The sequence below is a fragment of the Homo sapiens genome, chromosome 2, assembly GCF_000001405.40.
Source record: "Homo sapiens chromosome 2, GRCh38.p14 Primary Assembly".
In the NCBI taxonomy this organism is placed as follows: Eukaryota; Metazoa; Chordata; class Mammalia; order Primates; family Hominidae; genus Homo; species Homo sapiens.
Window position 1 is genome coordinate 43,755,414 of NC_000002.12, and position 16,996 is coordinate 43,772,409.

A 16,996-nucleotide genomic window follows, 5' to 3' on the forward strand; every position below is an offset into this window, starting at 1 on the left:
ATCATTGTCTCATACTGCCTGCTGTCCTGCAGCAGGCTCCTAAGTAGTGTGCCTTTCTCTGGTCTGGTCCCTCACAAATTTATCCTTCACACAAATGCTAGAGGGATTTTTTCCACTTATCTATTGCTACATAACTAATGACTCCAAAACTCAGCTACTTAAGACAGTAATTTGGGCAGGGATGTGAAGGGACAGTGTGTGTCTCTGCTTCCGGTGGTATCAGCTGACATAGCTTGAGAGCCAGTTGTCACTCTATGGCTGAGGGCTGGAATCATTTGAAGGCTCCTTCAGTCATGTCTGGTGGCTGATTGATGCCGGCTGTTTGTGGGGACTTCTGCTGGGACTGTCAGCTGGAGCACCTTACACGTGGTCTCTTCATGTATATGACTGCTTGTGCTTCCTCCAAGAATGGTGAATGGGTGACAGCAACAATGTCCCAGAAGATAGACAAGAAGTGGAAACTGCTGTTTTCTTAAGGGCTGAGCCTGGAAACTGGCACAATGTCACCTGTGCATGGAGCTTTATTAGGCAGCACTAGTAACTGGGATAGAGATACAGCAAAAATGTGAATCTAGCTCTGTCATTCCTTTTTTACATGCAAGGACTTTCAAGATCTGAACTCTGCCTGCCCCTCCAGCCTCAACATTCCCTTAATACTCCCTACCTTGAACTTCATGCTCCAATAAAGTATAAATTGTGGTTCCGAACACAACTGTATATCCTGGGAAGGACTCTATTCCCGGGATTAATGCTAGTAGAATGAGAGTATGAACACAATAACATGGAGAAAATCTAGGAACAAAGTAATGAGAATATGGTTCTTGCTCCCATTACATTCAGGAGAGACCCTCAAAAAGTCCAACTAATAGTTTTTTGAAATTTCTTATAACTTTTTTTTTTGAGATGGAGTCTTGCTCTGTCACCCAGGCTGGGCAATGGCATGATCTCGGCTGACTGCAACCTCCGCCTCCTGGGTTCAAGCGATTCTTCTGCCTCAGCCTCCCGAGTAGCTGGGATTACAGGTGCCTGCCACCACACCCGTCTGTTGCCTTTTATTTTTAACATCTATTTCATCTTATTATCAGCAATTAAAATAGTGCCTTAAAAATGAAAAATTGTCCTTGCAGACAATAACAAAGTAGTGACCTTTAGCAAGTACTACTAGATGGTGATAGTAAACTAGGAAGGTTAATGTAGAAATGGAACTCAAATGTTTAAATTACAGATTTTTTTCAAAATTAGAATTCAAGCCAGGCGGTGGCTCTGGCTCACGCTTGCAATCCCAACACTTTGGTAGGCCAAGGTAGGCGGATCACTTGAGGTCAGGAGTTCGAGACCAGCCTGGCCAACATGGTGAAACCCCCGTCTCTACAAAAAGCACAAAAATTAGCCAAGCGTGGTGGTATATGCCTGTAGTCCCAGCTATTCAGGAGGCTGAGGCAGGAGAATCAATTGAACCTGGGAGGCAGAGGTTGCAATGAGCCTGGGTGACAGAGTGAGACTCCGTCTCAAAAAAAAAATTATAATTCAAATGTAATTTATAAAAATTCCTACATATGATTATGAAGTTCATAATCACATAATCATGACAAATAGATTTATGTATTATGTGTTAAAAAAGAATGTTTAGAAAAAATAAAACTAACTGATTTTCTGTCTTAAAACTCTTTTCAATATATTTTCACTTTTGTGGATTTCCAATTAGGTAGAGATTGGAGATTTTGAAAGACCTTTCTCAACTCCAGCAGGGCATGTTACCAATCAGTGCAAAGTGAATCAAACTCTAAAGCAAGTCATAGAGAAATTTTATCCTAAAAGGTATAGAGATGGCTGTTCTGAAGAGCAGTTAAGGTAAGGAAATCTTTGTAACTCTTTATAGGGTAGGGTCATACTAGTTTTTTGGTAATATTTTTGTGTTCAAATTTTAAAGGTGAAAAACATTTGGACAGCTTTCTCAAGATTTTTTTAACATGATTGAGCCACAGGAGATTATAGATTTTTTTTCTTTCTTTTTTTTTTTTTTTGAGACGGAGTCTCGCTCTGTCGCCCAGGCTGGAGTGCAGTGGCCCAATCTCGGCTCACTGCAAGCTCCGCCTCCCGGGTACAGCCATTCTCATGCCTCAGCCTCCCAAGTAGCTGGGACTACAGGCGCCCGCCACCACACCCAGCTAATTTATTGTATTTTTAGTAGAGATGGGGTTTCACCGTGTTAGCCAGGATGGTCTCGATCTCCTGACCTCATGAACTGCCTGTCTCAGCCTCCCAAAGTGCTGGGATTAGAGGCGTGAGCCACTGTGCCCAGCCAATATTTTTATTTAAGATAAGCCCAGAAGCTTTAGAATCTATATTTAAACTTTCTTTAATTAAAAAAAAAGGCTTTAGATGTACTTTTTAATTGATCTTTTTCATTCTTGTCCAGAACAACCCTGATAATAAATAAGAGAAAAAAATTGGCCAATAATATGTTTAATTTTATGAAGTACATACCAAAAAATTATATTTTGTATATTCTATTATGAATAAGTTGAAATAAAAATAAACTATCTTCTTACAAAAGACTTTTTAATATAAAAGTTTCTAATTTACCTCAATTTGGAGTTTCAATTTCAGAGAATATATAAAGAGAAGCTGATTAGATTTAGAAATAGAGGCAAATCCAATTTATCGTGAGCTTTTCCAAAATAGAAACATTTAAGATCAGCCTTTTGTCTATGTAGAATAAGTGCTTGCCTTTGTAATTTGATTTGACAAGTTTCACCTTGCATCTAACATCTCTCCAAGCCAGGGGTGGGAGGACCTAAAATTCTACCATCAGGGATTCATCTTTGGGCTCTACTACTTGTTTTTGTTTTTGTTTAAGACAGAGTCTTGCTCTGCCACCCAGGCTGTAGTGCAATGGGGTGATCTCGGCTCGCTGCAACCTCCACCTCCCGGGTTCAAGTGATTCTCCCACCTCAGCCTCCCGAGTAGCTGGGATTACAGGCACCCGCCATCATGCCTGGCTTATTTTTGTATTTTTAGTAGAGACGGGGTTTCACCACGTTGGCCAGGCTGGTCTTAAACACCTGACCCCAGGTGATCCTCCCGCCTCGGCCTCCCAACGTGCTGGGATTACAGGCGTGAGCCACTGCACCGGGCCTGTACTTTTCTTTTAAAATGAAAATATTCCCATGAGAAATTATCTTTTAAACTAATTTACGCTAAGTTTTGATGGTAGATATTCAGATTTTAAAAATGGACCTGCTGTGGGTACCTAGTTCATGCCGAAAACACGAATAGTATGAGAATTTGGTGAAAGGAATATTCCAGAAAGGACAAGTGATGGACAGTGGTGTGATGAGAGTCACAAAATCTTTACCTGGGTTATGCCTAGGGATCACAGTTATGCTTAGGATTGGCTCAAGGAGAGTTTTATCTTAAGACTATGACACACTGTTTATGTTTTTGCTTTAGTGTTTTTGTTTTTGTTCTTTTCTTTTTTTTTAGGCAGCTTTGCCAGCGACTTTCAACCAGATGGATGGCCCTCCGGGGACACAGTGCTGCTGACTGTGTGCGCATTTATTTGACAGTAGCCAGGAAGTGGCCATTCTTTGGTGCCAAGTTGTTTCTTGCAAAAGTAAGAAAGAATGGGAGAGAGATGCATAATGAAAACCTTTGTGTACATAGTTGACCAGATTTACCCCAGACTTAGTATCCTTGGCTTTTGTAAAAAATGAAGAAATATCCAATAATGTAAAGAAAACAATGAAGAGACACTAGAGAAAGGGCAGAAAAGCTTCTCTATCTTTTCCTCTCTGCCCAACTTTTCCCACCCTAAATCATTTCTTGGACTCATTAGGTGAATCATGAGTCCTAAACCACAGCTGAACTCTGCATTCTTCTGTTCATTCATTCATCCATGCACATGTTTACTCTGTCACTCATTTGCTCATTAGTATTTACTAAGTTCTGTCTGCTAAACATTGAGCTAAGCTCTAGGGATACATAACCTATTGTTTCAGATGGATTGTACATGAACTTCCAGGACTATTTTACTTTGTAACAACAGGCCTATAAACAAACCACTGTATGGCAAATATCACTATGAGTCACATGAACAGACTGCTGCAGGAACACTGAGGAAGGAGACCCACCCTGCCCAGGGATGGCCAGCCCTTTCCCCAAGGGAAAAATTATGCCTTTTGATTCCTTTTCTTTCTGTTGAAACATGTCTCTTTGTACTTTCTCAGGCTCTTAAGATACATCTTGCCTTGTGTTATATTTTTCTGTGTGTTTGTTTTATACTCACTATTAAATTGCATGCTCCTTGAAACTATAAACTCACTGATCCTAAAATCTTCCTCTTGTACCTACTGTAGTGCTTTGCACGTAATTAATAATTATCACTTAATAAATATTGCTGAATAGCTGTGCAACTTTGGGCAAGTCAGGTTACCTCTCTGGACCTCACTTTTCCTCATCTGTTAATGAAATACTTAGATTAGAAAAGTAAAATCTAAGGTATCTTCTAACTCTGATTCTATGAGTGACTATATTATTGATAGGTGAGAATTAATTTTTTTCTAGTGGAACTGAAAGCTGTATACTAATTAAGAAAAAGATGATAAAGTTAGTATTCTTAAACATCTATAAAATTAATGTACTTACGGGAAGTTGAACGTTACTTTTTAAAATTACAAGGAATAGATTTGAACTGTAGAGCAGCATGGATTTTAATTCTAACTTCAGCATTGGAAGTAATATTAAATACCCTTTTCTGTTCTGATAAAATGTGCTTGCTGGCACAAAATATTATTAAATAATAATATTGCTTTTCAAATTACGTGACAAGCATCTTTTTTGCTCACTTTTCTTTCTTTATAACAAGCGACACCTCCTTTGTTGCTTCATGGCATCCTGTTTTCTGTGTGTGGTAAAATACACATAATGAAATTTACCCTTTAACCTTTTTTTTTTTTTTTTTTTTTGAGACGGAGTCTCACTCTGTCACCCAGACTGGAGTGCAGTGGTGCAATCTTGACTCACTGCAACCTCCGCCTCCCAGGTTCAAGCGATTCTCACGCTTCAGCCTTCCAAGTAGCTGGGATTACAGGCGCACACCACCACGCTCAGCTAATTTTTATATTTTTGGTAGAGACAGGGTTTCACCATTTTGGCCAGACTAGTCTCGAACTCCTGATCTGAAGTGATCCACCCGCCTCGGCCTCCCAAAGTGCTGGGATTACAGGCGTGAGCCACCGCATCTGGCCCATTGTAACCATTTTTAAGTGTATAGTTCTGTGGCATTAAGTACATTCTCATTGTTGTGTTGCTGTCACCACCATTCATCTAAACACTTTTTTATTTTCCCAAACTGAAACTGTACCTAACTCCCCAGTCCTCCCTCCTCCTCCCAGCCCTGGCAACTGCCACTCTACTTTCTGTCTCTATGCATTTGACTACTTTAGGAACTTCAGGTAAGAGAAATCATATAATATTTGTGCTTTTGTTATTGGCTTATTTCACTTAGTGTAATGTCTTCAAGGTTCATCCATGTTGTAACATGTGTCAAAATTTCCTTCCCTTTTGAGGCAGAATAACATTCCACTGTAGGTATATATATACCACATTTTGTTTATCCATTCACCTGTCAGTGGACACTAGAGTTGAAGGGCATCCTTTTGAATTGAATTCTCCCTATCCTTTGCAAATCAGCCCTCAGTAGACAGTTTCTAACTCAGGGTTTTGTATATATGAGATGCTAGCAAGTTTTATTATATAAAATAACCCAACATTCATTCCAGTTTTATATCTATAGTCTTGACATTGTTTTGTAAAATTTAAGGGAAATAGTTAAGATTTTTTTTAGGATTTCATTTGTTAATGGAACCAAACAAGCATCATTAATTGCTCAAAAACATTCATGGGTTTCAGTTGGGTTCTAGTGGTAGGAGATTCTTTTTATTAATATAATTTCATAGCTTTTTTTTTCTATGAGAACCAGGAGTAGCTTTTAGCTTTTTTTTTTTTTTTTTTTAGATGAAGTCTCACTCTGTCACACAGGCTGGAGTGCAGTGGCACTATCTCAGCTCACTGCAGCCTGCGCCTCCCAGGTTCCAGCTGTTCTCCTGTCTCAGCCTCCCAAGTAGATCGGATTACAGGCGTGCACCACCATGCCCAGCTGATTTTTGTGTCTTTGGCAGAGATGGGGTTTCGTCATGTTGCACAGGCTGGTCTCGAACTCCTGGCCTCAGATGATCCACCCACCTCGGCTTCCCAAGGTGCTAGGATTACAGGCGAGAGCCACAACACCCAGTCAATTTCGTAGCTTTTACAATAAAAAATTCGGTGGAAATTTTCATATTTCTCATTACTATTGATTACACAGTTTCATATTTTCTTGTTATTGTGTTTTTATTACACATTGAATATCAGATTTAATAAACTTTCAGGAAAGGTGTGCAATTATAATAATAATCTTTTACCTTGTAATAGCACTACACAACTTATCAAGCATATCAGTATATTTTGCTTCATTAGGATTTTGGTCATCATAGAAACCCTAAAAACTTGTTGACTATTAACGTCTTAACGCAGAAGAAAAGTAAAATATAAACATTATTGTTCCTATGCTAAAGATGAGGAAATTGAGCCTCAAACAGATTCAGTAGTTTATCCAAATGCATACATTAATATATGGCAGGTTTGGGTCTCAAAGCTAGGTCTCCTAATATCGAATTCACTCTTAGCTCCGGTATACCACCCTGCCTCTTTCCTAGGCGAGATTTTTAATAAATTTTTGTTGTTATTATTGTTGTTTAATGGCAAATGTTACATGACATTTAGACTGAAAAATATTCCTGTAATTTTGCTTAGTATTTATAATATAGTGTATTTTCACCTCTTCATAGCCCATAACTCCATCATCACTTGGAAGTACTTTCTTGTGGCTGGCTGTACATGAGGATGGTTTAAGCCTCTTAGAATACAACTCCATGGTAAGTTTAAACGCTCAAGTTTTGCATTAAGTCAACTGTTTCCATTGCTCAGTGTACCGTAAACAGAAAGTAATGATATCTTAATCTGATTTTTCTCTTACCCAGGAAACATTCTTCCTAATACTATGTCATGAACAGTCATTTTACAAATACAGCTATGATTATAATTTAACCTTTTAAAACAAGATAAGACAGGTCGTTTATTGTGTATGAGAAAAATCTTGATACCATGACTAAATTGTGATCATGGTTACATTCATGAAATGATTATTTTTTAAAAGTGTTAAGAAGATTGTTTCCTGTGTAAAATAAAAATCTGTAAGAAATCATTAAGGTGGGAACTTTAATTACCAAAGTTTAAGTTCACTTTCACTAAGGCTTCTTTAACAATTTCTATAATTTCCTATAATGTCATTTATATAGCATCTTAGCACTTTTCACATAGTTTAAATTCAAACTATGATATCTATATGTGTTCATTTATTTACCCGAAATTTACATTTTTTATCATATTTCATGTGTCTAATTATTTAATACAATTTTATTCTCTTTTTTGTTTAATCTGGTGAGCAGGAATTACTAAATTCACCTGGCAGGTCTAATCCTGTGGCTATAATCAGAAGATCACTGAAAATTTTCTGGAAACCAAACTATTCTTTTGTGTTATAGTCACTGTTTCCCCTTATAATTGCTTAAAAAACAAACACACACACACTTTTTTTCAAGGGGTTATATTTTCTGAGTGCCTTTTAGTTTTTAAATGGATAACTTGAAGATATTATAAAATCAGTGACTTAAAGTAAAAACAAACAAACCAAAAAACCTATACACCAGTACTAAGTTACCTTAGTTCAGAAAACTAGCTCCCTAGCTCCCAGGAGGTAGCCAGACAGGCCAGGAAGCACACACAGGTGGGTCTGAGGCATTCAGTCCTGGAATGGTCTGCTCAGTCTTGCAAGGTAATCATTAGATATGCAGAGTCCTTTCAGGCTGTATATTAGTTACATTTTATTTTATTTTATTTTATTGATTTATTGATTTTTTTTTGAGGCAGGGTCTTATTCTGTCGCCCAGACTGAAGTGCGGTGGTGTGATCACTGCTCCCTGCATCCTTGACCTCCTGGGCTCAAGCAGTCCTCCTGCCTCAGCCTCCCAAGTAGCTGGGACCACAAGCATGTACTACCATGCCCGGCTAATTTTTTTTTTTTTTTTTTTCATAGAAACTGGGTCTCCCTATGTTGCCCAGGCTAGGCTCAAGTGATCCTCCCACCTCAGCCTCAGGCGTGAGCCATCAGGCCCGGCCTAAGTTATATTTTTACATTGTTTTGGAAACACATTAGAAAAAAATATTTGCTGCATATGTGACAAAGGGTTAATACGTGATACTGTTTCTGTTTATGGATTTCAAAATCCATCTATCTAGGTGAACTATGTAGATTTACCAATACTTGACCATTTTGACCATGAAAAGTATCAGTAATATGGCTTAACCTAACATAAATATAAGAGATATATGAAAGGGCATATAAAAAATATTAACAGTGGCTTTCCACTAGATGCTGGAATATAGATGCTTTTTATTTTTTTCTTATATTTTCTCATTTTTCTGCAGTGACTTGTTTCGGACTCAACATTGTAAAGGTAGATGATGCCTAAATAAAATTAGTACCACTACTATCTATTTTGGATCATAATACATTTTATTTTAGAAAATAATTTTGTATTATACCATAATTGATTAATATCTGCCTTTTAATGGAGATATATTATTAATTATTTTCCATCTCTCCTTGGAAGTAAGAGCATATAACATATATACTTTTTCTTATCTTTAAAGAGGTTAATAGTCAGCTATGTGTACAAGAGTCTAATGACCTTTGGAGGCTATCAAGATGATTTTATGGTAGTCATTAACAATACACATTCAAAGGACAAACCAACAGAGAAATTACTTTTTGCCATGGCAAAACCCAAGGTGAGTAGAAGCCTTTCTGCCAACTTTTTTGTCCTAGTTGTTTTCACTTAGTCTTAGCCAGAAGGCCAAAAAGCAATGCTAATTGTTTTCATATTAAAACATTTATTCAGCAAAGACTGCATTCCAGATGGGAAAACAGACGTTATTTATAGTCAAACAAACATGGGTCCAACTTACATCATCTTTCCAAGCTCTGGTTTCTTTGTCTAAAAATATGGTAACATACTCCCTACTTCTTTTGGCTTAAAAATTAAATGAAGGAAGTTTGTAGGGTACTTAGCCCAATGCCAGGTATATAGAAGATTCAAAATAAATAGTTGTGGCATTAAGTTATTGCTGCCTGGTACTTTATACACATTATCTTATTCACTTGAGGTTATTTGCTTTATGGACTCATTAGAGGAAAGACTGGGATTTTATAATTAAAACATACTTGCTCCTTTACGACTTTTAACAAACTGTGTAGTTTTAACATCTCTAAGTAAAAGCAATAAATAAATGGATTACATTCTAACATGTAATTCTAATTGAAAGTGATTTTCCTACAACTTTAGCTGTCTTAATGTTATCAGATAAAAGAAATTACTTCTTCGGAATCTGAAGCTTTTTTTACAAAATAGATGTCTTTCTTAATTAAGCCTATACTTAAGTGAAAGCAGCTAACCATTAAGTGCAGATCAGGGAGCTCAGTCTTTAGTGAAAATAGAGAGTTCTTATGACACTAACTTTCTTAATTCATATATTCACTAATGTGGCTTTATGATAATTTGATAGAGTTCTACTACTGACTGTCACATTTCCTAAGAATGCCACTCAATTTGATTGTTTTTGAGATTCACTCTTTCTGCTGGTTTAAGTAATGAAAAAACGTGTGGCTGCCTTGATGGTGCTGGACATGTAAGCACTTCATTGTTTGATCTAGAGAGAAGGGAATTCTGGTAGCCTGGGCACTTGCAAATGGAGCTCACCTGTGGCCAACACTTTACTCTCTTCTGGAAGTGATGAGAACTTCTAAGGAGCAAAACAATTCTGTTTTCCTTGTTTTAGATTCTTGAAATCACTCTTTTGATCGCCAGTTACATAAACAACTTCCATCAGCAAAAGGCAGCATTTCACCACCTCTCTGCTCCAGCACTGCTCTCAGCCCAGACCCGGGGACCCCAAGCCAGAATGATGGGAAGCCAGCCTCTTCTGTCAAGCAGCAGACCGACCAAAGGCCCCACCTTACTCTGAAAGCTGGGGAGCCTGAACATTCACTCCTTGTCCTCCATGCTGTGGCTGTATCAGCTCCCTACAAGTTCGTTTACACCTGGCAGCACGGCAGCCACACACCGGTATTCCAAACCTTAACAATGAAGGGGGTTAGTCTCTTTTATTTGATTCTTAAATATTCAAATAAATATTAACAGTAAAACATAAACACAAAATTTGCCAACACACTAATTTTCTTATAGAGTAAATGAGTAAGAATTCATCATTTTTTCCATCTCCCTTCTCCCTTGTCATCAGACACATTGTGCAATGTGGCTTTTCTTTTCTTTTCTTTTTTTCCCCTTTTTAATATTCTGGCAATCTTTAGAAAGGGAGATTCCAAACTCCCATTTGGTAAACCAGTTGATTATTTGGAAATGTTCACTGCCAAAATAGTAAGTGCTATAACTAAATGCGCTTTTAATTAATGATATAGTGTTTGGAAAGGAGTAGAACATGCAGCATAAGAAACTGCTGCAGAGTGGTGCGAGGAGTACATTTTCAGAGCAGGTGCAGTACATCTTCCGGCTCTATGAATCATTATGTGAGAAAGCAGGATAACATTAGGTAACCTGAGCCTCCTGTGTGGTATTAGAAAGTATACCGTCACCTTTTCACATCACTGGAGTGTAAAATTTAAAACAAGATGGTGATTCCTGACATTCCTTGGCTGTCAGTGCTGCCCAGATTCAGAAGAATATTGCCCACATTTCACTGTATTTGGTGCTGGGTCATTTTGACCTTGCTTTGTTAATAATATCTTTAAAAACAAAGACAATCCTTAAAGCTTTGCTCCTCACACATTACCTTCTAATTATAGTTTGAAAATAGATTCCCTACACATACATACATATGTATGCACAGATAGGGTCTTGCTATGTTGCCCAGGCTGGTCTTGAACTCCTGGCCTCAAGCAATCCTCTCTCCTCAGCCTCCCAAAGTGCTGGGATTACAAGTGTGAGCCACCACACCTGGCTCCAGAAATTTTATTTTATTTTTTTGAGGCAGGGTCTCACTCTGGTTGCCCAGGCTGGAGTGCAGTGGTGCCATCATAGCTCACTGTAGCCTCGACCTTCCGGGATCAAGCAATCCCACTTCAGCCTCTTGAATAGCTGGGACTAGAAGCATGCACCACCATGCCCATCTAATATTTGTATTTTTAGTAGAGACAGGATCTCCCTATGTTGTCCAGCCTAGTCTCAAACTCCTGGGTTCAAGCAATCCTCCCACCTCGGCCTCCCAAAGTGCTGGGATTGCAGGCATGAGCCACCGTGCCCAGCCTCAAAAATATTTTTTAAAAGAAAAGAGAAAATAATTCTTCTGTCAAAGGAGGTTAAATTTTAGTTGATAGAGTACTTAAATGCATTACTTTATTAGGTTATGTAAGTGGTCAGTGCATTCCAGTATGTGTCACAACAGTGTAGTTCATATTCATGATAAAAATGAAACTGTGATAAGACATGAAAATTATATTATTAAAATGTTCAATTGTAATGGTAATCATGAGTATACTTAATTTTATTTATGTATAGAATATTTGTATTTATTTTTTGGACATATATTTATCACTTTGTCATTTTTTTTAACCAATTTGAGAAATGTTAGCTGCTGAATTAATTTGTTGCCCGAGCCTTCATATTTTCTTCTTTGCTGCCTTCTCCCTGTGGCAATGTACTGTTCTCACATTAAGCCTTTTAAAAATGTTCCATACTGTATTAGCATCCTTAGAAGGGACAGAACTAAGAAATACATTGCTCAAATAATATTTTACTTTATTGATAATGACAAAAAGAATATTTTTTAAACCCCATCAAAATAGATTTCAATTGACTGTTTCCCCTACATCTTTTGAGCCACAGTCGCCCATCGAATAAGCAAATTTGTTTTTGAGAATAAACTGGTAACCAGTTTGTGATGACTCTCAGAAGCCTTTTGGCTGGGTTACAGAAGAGTTTCTAAGTTCCTAGAGAGCCATTTAATAATTAGTTGGTGAGCCAGAGGCTTGACAGAGCTGTTACTTATGTGTGAGGGCTTTATTCTCAGGCAGTAGTTTATTCATCATTTGGTAAGCCCCTCCCCACACTCCTCTAATTTAAACAAGTAGTGAAGGCTTATCTTAAACTGTGTAGTACCTTAGACTTGGCATTTATTTTTGATAGAGCAGAGATAAAATATTTTGATGGAAGGAAATCAATTTTCTGTAACTGATGATGTGAAAATTTTATTTTCTGGGAAATTATATAGCCATTCAAAAATTCAAAGTATGTTATTATGATTGGTTACAAGAGAATAATGTTACATGTTTAATTGTAATATTTGTCTCCTATCATTTTCTTCCCTTTCAGTCATAATAAATGATTTACAAAACCCATTTTGAGCATTATCTTTTGAATAATCTTCAAGAAATACCTAATGTTTTCATTGTCAAAGCTGAGGTGTAGTACCAGTGAAAATGGTAGTTATTACCTCCTTCTCTTGCATTCATGCTTTGTCTTCAGTGTTGCTTTGTTTTATCCATATAAAAGGGAGCTGTTTTGGAGAATTGTAATTTTAATCCATATGTGTGCATATTGACACACAATATGTAAATAGGTAAATAGATAGAAATATTGGTTCTCCCATGATTTCATATTTCATATAGGTGAGTTGAATGGATTGTGTTCCAAAAATTTGTCTTAAATGTTCTGGATTGTGTGTGTGTGCCCTTAAAATCAAATACTATCACAGCTTAGAAATGACTTTAACTCTCAATTTACAAGAGAAGTTAGTCACAACTTATAAAGACTCTTTGTTTAAAAATGTGTTTAGTAGTTTGTTGTTTGGATTTTTTTTTCATTAAAAAGAAATACATGTGCTTACATCTACCTGCCAATTAAAAAAAATACACAGTGATCAAGTTCCTAGAACAATACATTTAACCCTTAATTGTGCGTGAAGCATGATCCTGAAGAAGTAACCACCATGGATAACCATATTTCTCTAGAAAAAGGCTTTACCTGTTGGTGGGATGCCAAGAACATATTTCCCCCACCCACTCATCCCCCCTGCAGCTGATTTCTAGGGAGGGACAGCTCCAGTAATTTGAAAATTGAGGAAGAGAAGTGACAAGCAAGAAGAAGTGGACACAGCAGTTTCCCTGCTGCCCACCTGATTTATGCAGAAATGACATCTCCTCTCACATTTCCCCCCATTCTCTTTTCCCTAAAAGAAGAAAGGGATGGCTGGGCATGGTGGCTCACGCCTGTAATTCCAGCATTTTGGGAGGCCGAGGCGAGTGGATCATGAGGTCAGGAGTTCAAGACCAACCTGGCCAAGATGGTGAAACCCCGTCTCTACTAGAAATACAAAAATTAGCCGAGTGTGATGGTGGGCGCCTGTAATCCCAGCTACTTGGGAGGCCGAGGCAGAGAAGTGCTTGAACCCGGGATGCAGAGGATGCAGACAGCTGAGATCACGCCACTGCACTCCAGCCTGGGTGACAGAGTGAGACTCTGTCTCAAAAAAAAAAAAAGAAGAAGAAGAAAGGGATTTAACTGCAACAAAAAGAACTTTTTCTCCTTTAAATTCCAAATTAAGATAAGTCCGCATGTAGATGTTCAGGGTGAAGCAAGATTTATCTATATTTCAGTGGGACCAACATACAGGCTTTTCTTGGGTGTTTTTTTTTTTCTTCAATATCTTTATGACACTCAATTATTGGGGATTTAAGTGGGAAGATCAGTCCTACAAAGAAGAGTTGGTGGGTCTGGGCAGAGGCTGTGGGGAGGAGACAAGGTAAGCATTTACTTTATATTGTGATTTTATTTGTTGGATTTAATTTGACCTAAATTGTACATAGTCACAGTGACTCTGGATTATAATTCGCATCATTCCAAAAAACTTTATCGTATGCTTTATATTATTTTGCAGTCCAGTAATAGGAAAGGAATACCAACTTTACTAGGGAAAGGTCTATTAGCAAATAACTCCAAAATAGGACACAAATGTTCAGCAACGCACTTGAATACTGAGTACCCTTCCTTCCTGTGCTTTGCCAACATCATTTTCTTTCTTTTTTTTTTTCTGTCGCCCAGTCTGGAGTGCAGTGGCGCAATCTCCACTCACTGCAAGCTCCGCCCTCCGGGTTCATGCCATTCTCCGGCCTCAGCCTCCCGAGTAGCTGGGACTACGGGCGTCCGCTACCACTGGCTAATTTTTTGTATTTTTAGTAGAGACGGGGTTTCACCATGTTAGCCAGGATGGTCTCGATCTCCTGACCTTGTGATCCGCCCTCCCCGGCCTCCCAAAGTGCTGGGATTACAGGCGTGAGCCACCGCGCCCGGTCCATTTTCTTTTATTTTTTTTGAGACGGGGTTTTGCTCTTGTTGCCCATGCTGGAGTGCAATGGCGCGATCTCGGCTCACTGCAACCTCTGCCTCCCGGGTTCAAGCAGTTCTCCTTCCTCAGCCTCCTGAGTAGCTGAGATTACAGGCACCTGCCACCATGCTCAGCTAATTTTTTTTTTTTTCTTTTGAGAGGAGTCTCGCTCTGTCGCCCACACTGGAGTGCAGTGGCGCCATCTCGGCTCATGTAAGCTCCGCCTCCCGGGTTCACGCCATTCTCCCGCCTCAGCCTCTGCAGTAGCTGGGACTACAGGCGCCTGCCACCACGCCCGGCTAATTTTTTGTATTTTTAGTAGAGACGGGGTTTCACCATGTTGGTCAGGCTGGTCTTGAACTCCTGATCTCAGATGATCTGCCCGCCTTGTCCTCCCAAAGTGCTGGGATTACAGGCGTTAGCCACCGTGCCCGGCCTGCCAACATAATTTTCTAATAAACAGAGTGGGGGTGGGAGGGGAAGGGCCGCTCTTTCTGAACGTGCTGCTAGGTTATACTGTGGTTTTATGAAAATCAAACAACTCTTCTTTAGCAGTGGCAGTGGCAAAAGAAGGCTAATTCCCTCTCTCACTATGTGGCTCTAATGAATTCCCAGGAGCTCCTAGGAACTGAATATTGGGTGATACCAGAGGAAATGGCTTAGATGTTATTAACTTCTTGAGTTTCTGGAAAATGCTATCAAACCCAATAAGAGTTGCCTTTTATGAGAGAAAAGTTTACAGAAAGTGTAACCTTAGGAAAGCTTGTGGAGAGTTCTTGGGTTTTGGATCATGTACAGATTATAAGATGTTCCACTCAGGGATAGGGTATCATCAACACTGCTTTCATGTACTGACTATTCTATCGAAACATCTTCACATGAGGTTATCACTGACCACTTAACTGCCAAGTCCAGCAGACCCCAAATGGTCCAACTGTCTGCTGGACGATATCTCAAACTCACCATGTCCTCTAAACCTGCTTCTCCTGCTCTGTGCCCCTTAAAATTGGTTAAGAGGATCACCAGTTCATCCATCAAGAAGGAAACATTGACTTTTCTCCCTTTTACCAACGTCTTACTTTCTACTGTCTAGTAATTGTATTAGATAGAACTCTTTTTGCTGTAAATTCCAAAATTCAACTTGAACTAGCTTAGACAAAAATGAGAAATTGTATTACAAGGATATTAGGATGTCTCATATAATCAAAGAGCAAGCTGAACAACCAAGCCATAAGAAAGGTGAGGACACAGGCAAGCCTTAGGGACAATTAGAACCATGAGACATATGCCAGCACTTTCCCTTCATATTGATGTGTGTCTGATGTGTGCTCACTAACTACAAAATAATTCATTTAGCATAAAATATGCTAATTTCCTCTAGAGGTAGAGTGACTTACTTTTCCCAATTCTAGTTTGAAAAATTTCAGGGAAGGACTGTGATTAACCCAGCTCATGTTAGGTGTTCACTCTGAACCACCCCAAATGTACTCAACATTAGGAGAATGCTTAAGTACATTACGAAAAATCTATGCAGTGAAATATTCTGCAACCATCAAAGTTATGTTTATGATGCAGTTTTAAAATTTGATATGGTGCATTTTTAAAATTTGATATGGGGAAATACATGTTAAAATCAGGACATTAATTAACTTTACAATTAATCTCAACTTTGTAAGAAAAAAGATTAGAATGAAACATATCAAATGTATTTCCAAAATACCTAATAGTTACTACTTCTGGCTTATGCTTATTTTACCCTCTTAATTTTCTGTGCATACGTTTTTTCCCCTACAATTAGCTTATATAACTTTGAAAACAAGGGAAAAAATTTTAAAACTCTGCCTGTCACTTTCCTAGCTATTGTTAATAGCCTCCGCATGGTCTTCTAGATGCCAAACCACCCTTCACACAACTGCAAAAAATTATCTCACTGAAATTCATGTCTAATCATGGCACACTCCTATTTTTAAACCCTATTTGGTTTCTCATAACCAACACAGTAAAGTCTAGACTACAGCATCCTTCACAGTAGCCCCATCTACCTGCCCAGTTTGCTCTTCCACTGTAGCTCCACCAGGCACTTTATATGATCGCAACCCAAACTATTCAGTTTCCCAAATACATCCTGCACACGCCTTTACCCTTCTGCACTGTTGCTCATTCCATCCAGAAAGCAGCATAAAATTGTCTCCTTCTCCTTCCATTCTTACCTTAAGAACAATCTTCATCTACCCAGGAAAGTCACTTTCTTTGCCCAAGTATGAAGGCCTCAAGAGGAATGAGGGAAGAAAGGGGAACTCACCTGCTCAGTCAGATCAACTGAATCAACCCTGAATCAATGCTGCTGATCAGGGCCCAGCCGGATCACCTTCACTTTCCTGGTTACCAAGCTCCCTCCTTCAAACACCTCTCCCCGTTATTCAAACAAGTGTACTTT

At 38.6% G+C, this 16,996-nt stretch overlaps 1 protein-coding gene and 1 pseudogene across 4 annotated transcripts in view; one reads left to right on the forward strand and one right to left on the reverse strand.

Annotated features, from left to right (window-relative positions):
• Nucleotides 1–12,574, forward strand: part of PLEKHH2 (pleckstrin homology, MyTH4 and FERM domain containing H2) — a 130,728-nt gene extending 118,154 nt beyond the window's left edge. For all 4 annotated transcript variants that reach the window (NM_172069.4, XM_017003351.3, XM_024452695.2 and 1 more), the window contains 5 exons: nt 1,706–1,851; nt 3,487–3,616; nt 6,891–6,977; nt 8,815–8,952; nt 10,000–12,574. In NM_172069.4, coding sequence (NP_742066.2) covers nt 1,706–1,851; nt 3,487–3,616; nt 6,891–6,977; nt 8,815–8,952; nt 10,000–10,185 — 687 coding nt within the window. In that variant the 3' untranslated portion in view covers nt 10,186–12,574. The remainder of the gene's footprint in view (nt 1–1,705; nt 1,852–3,486; nt 3,617–6,890; nt 6,978–8,814; nt 8,953–9,999) is intronic.
• RN7SKP66 (RN7SK pseudogene 66) lies at nt 16,707–16,937 on the reverse strand (annotated as a pseudogene).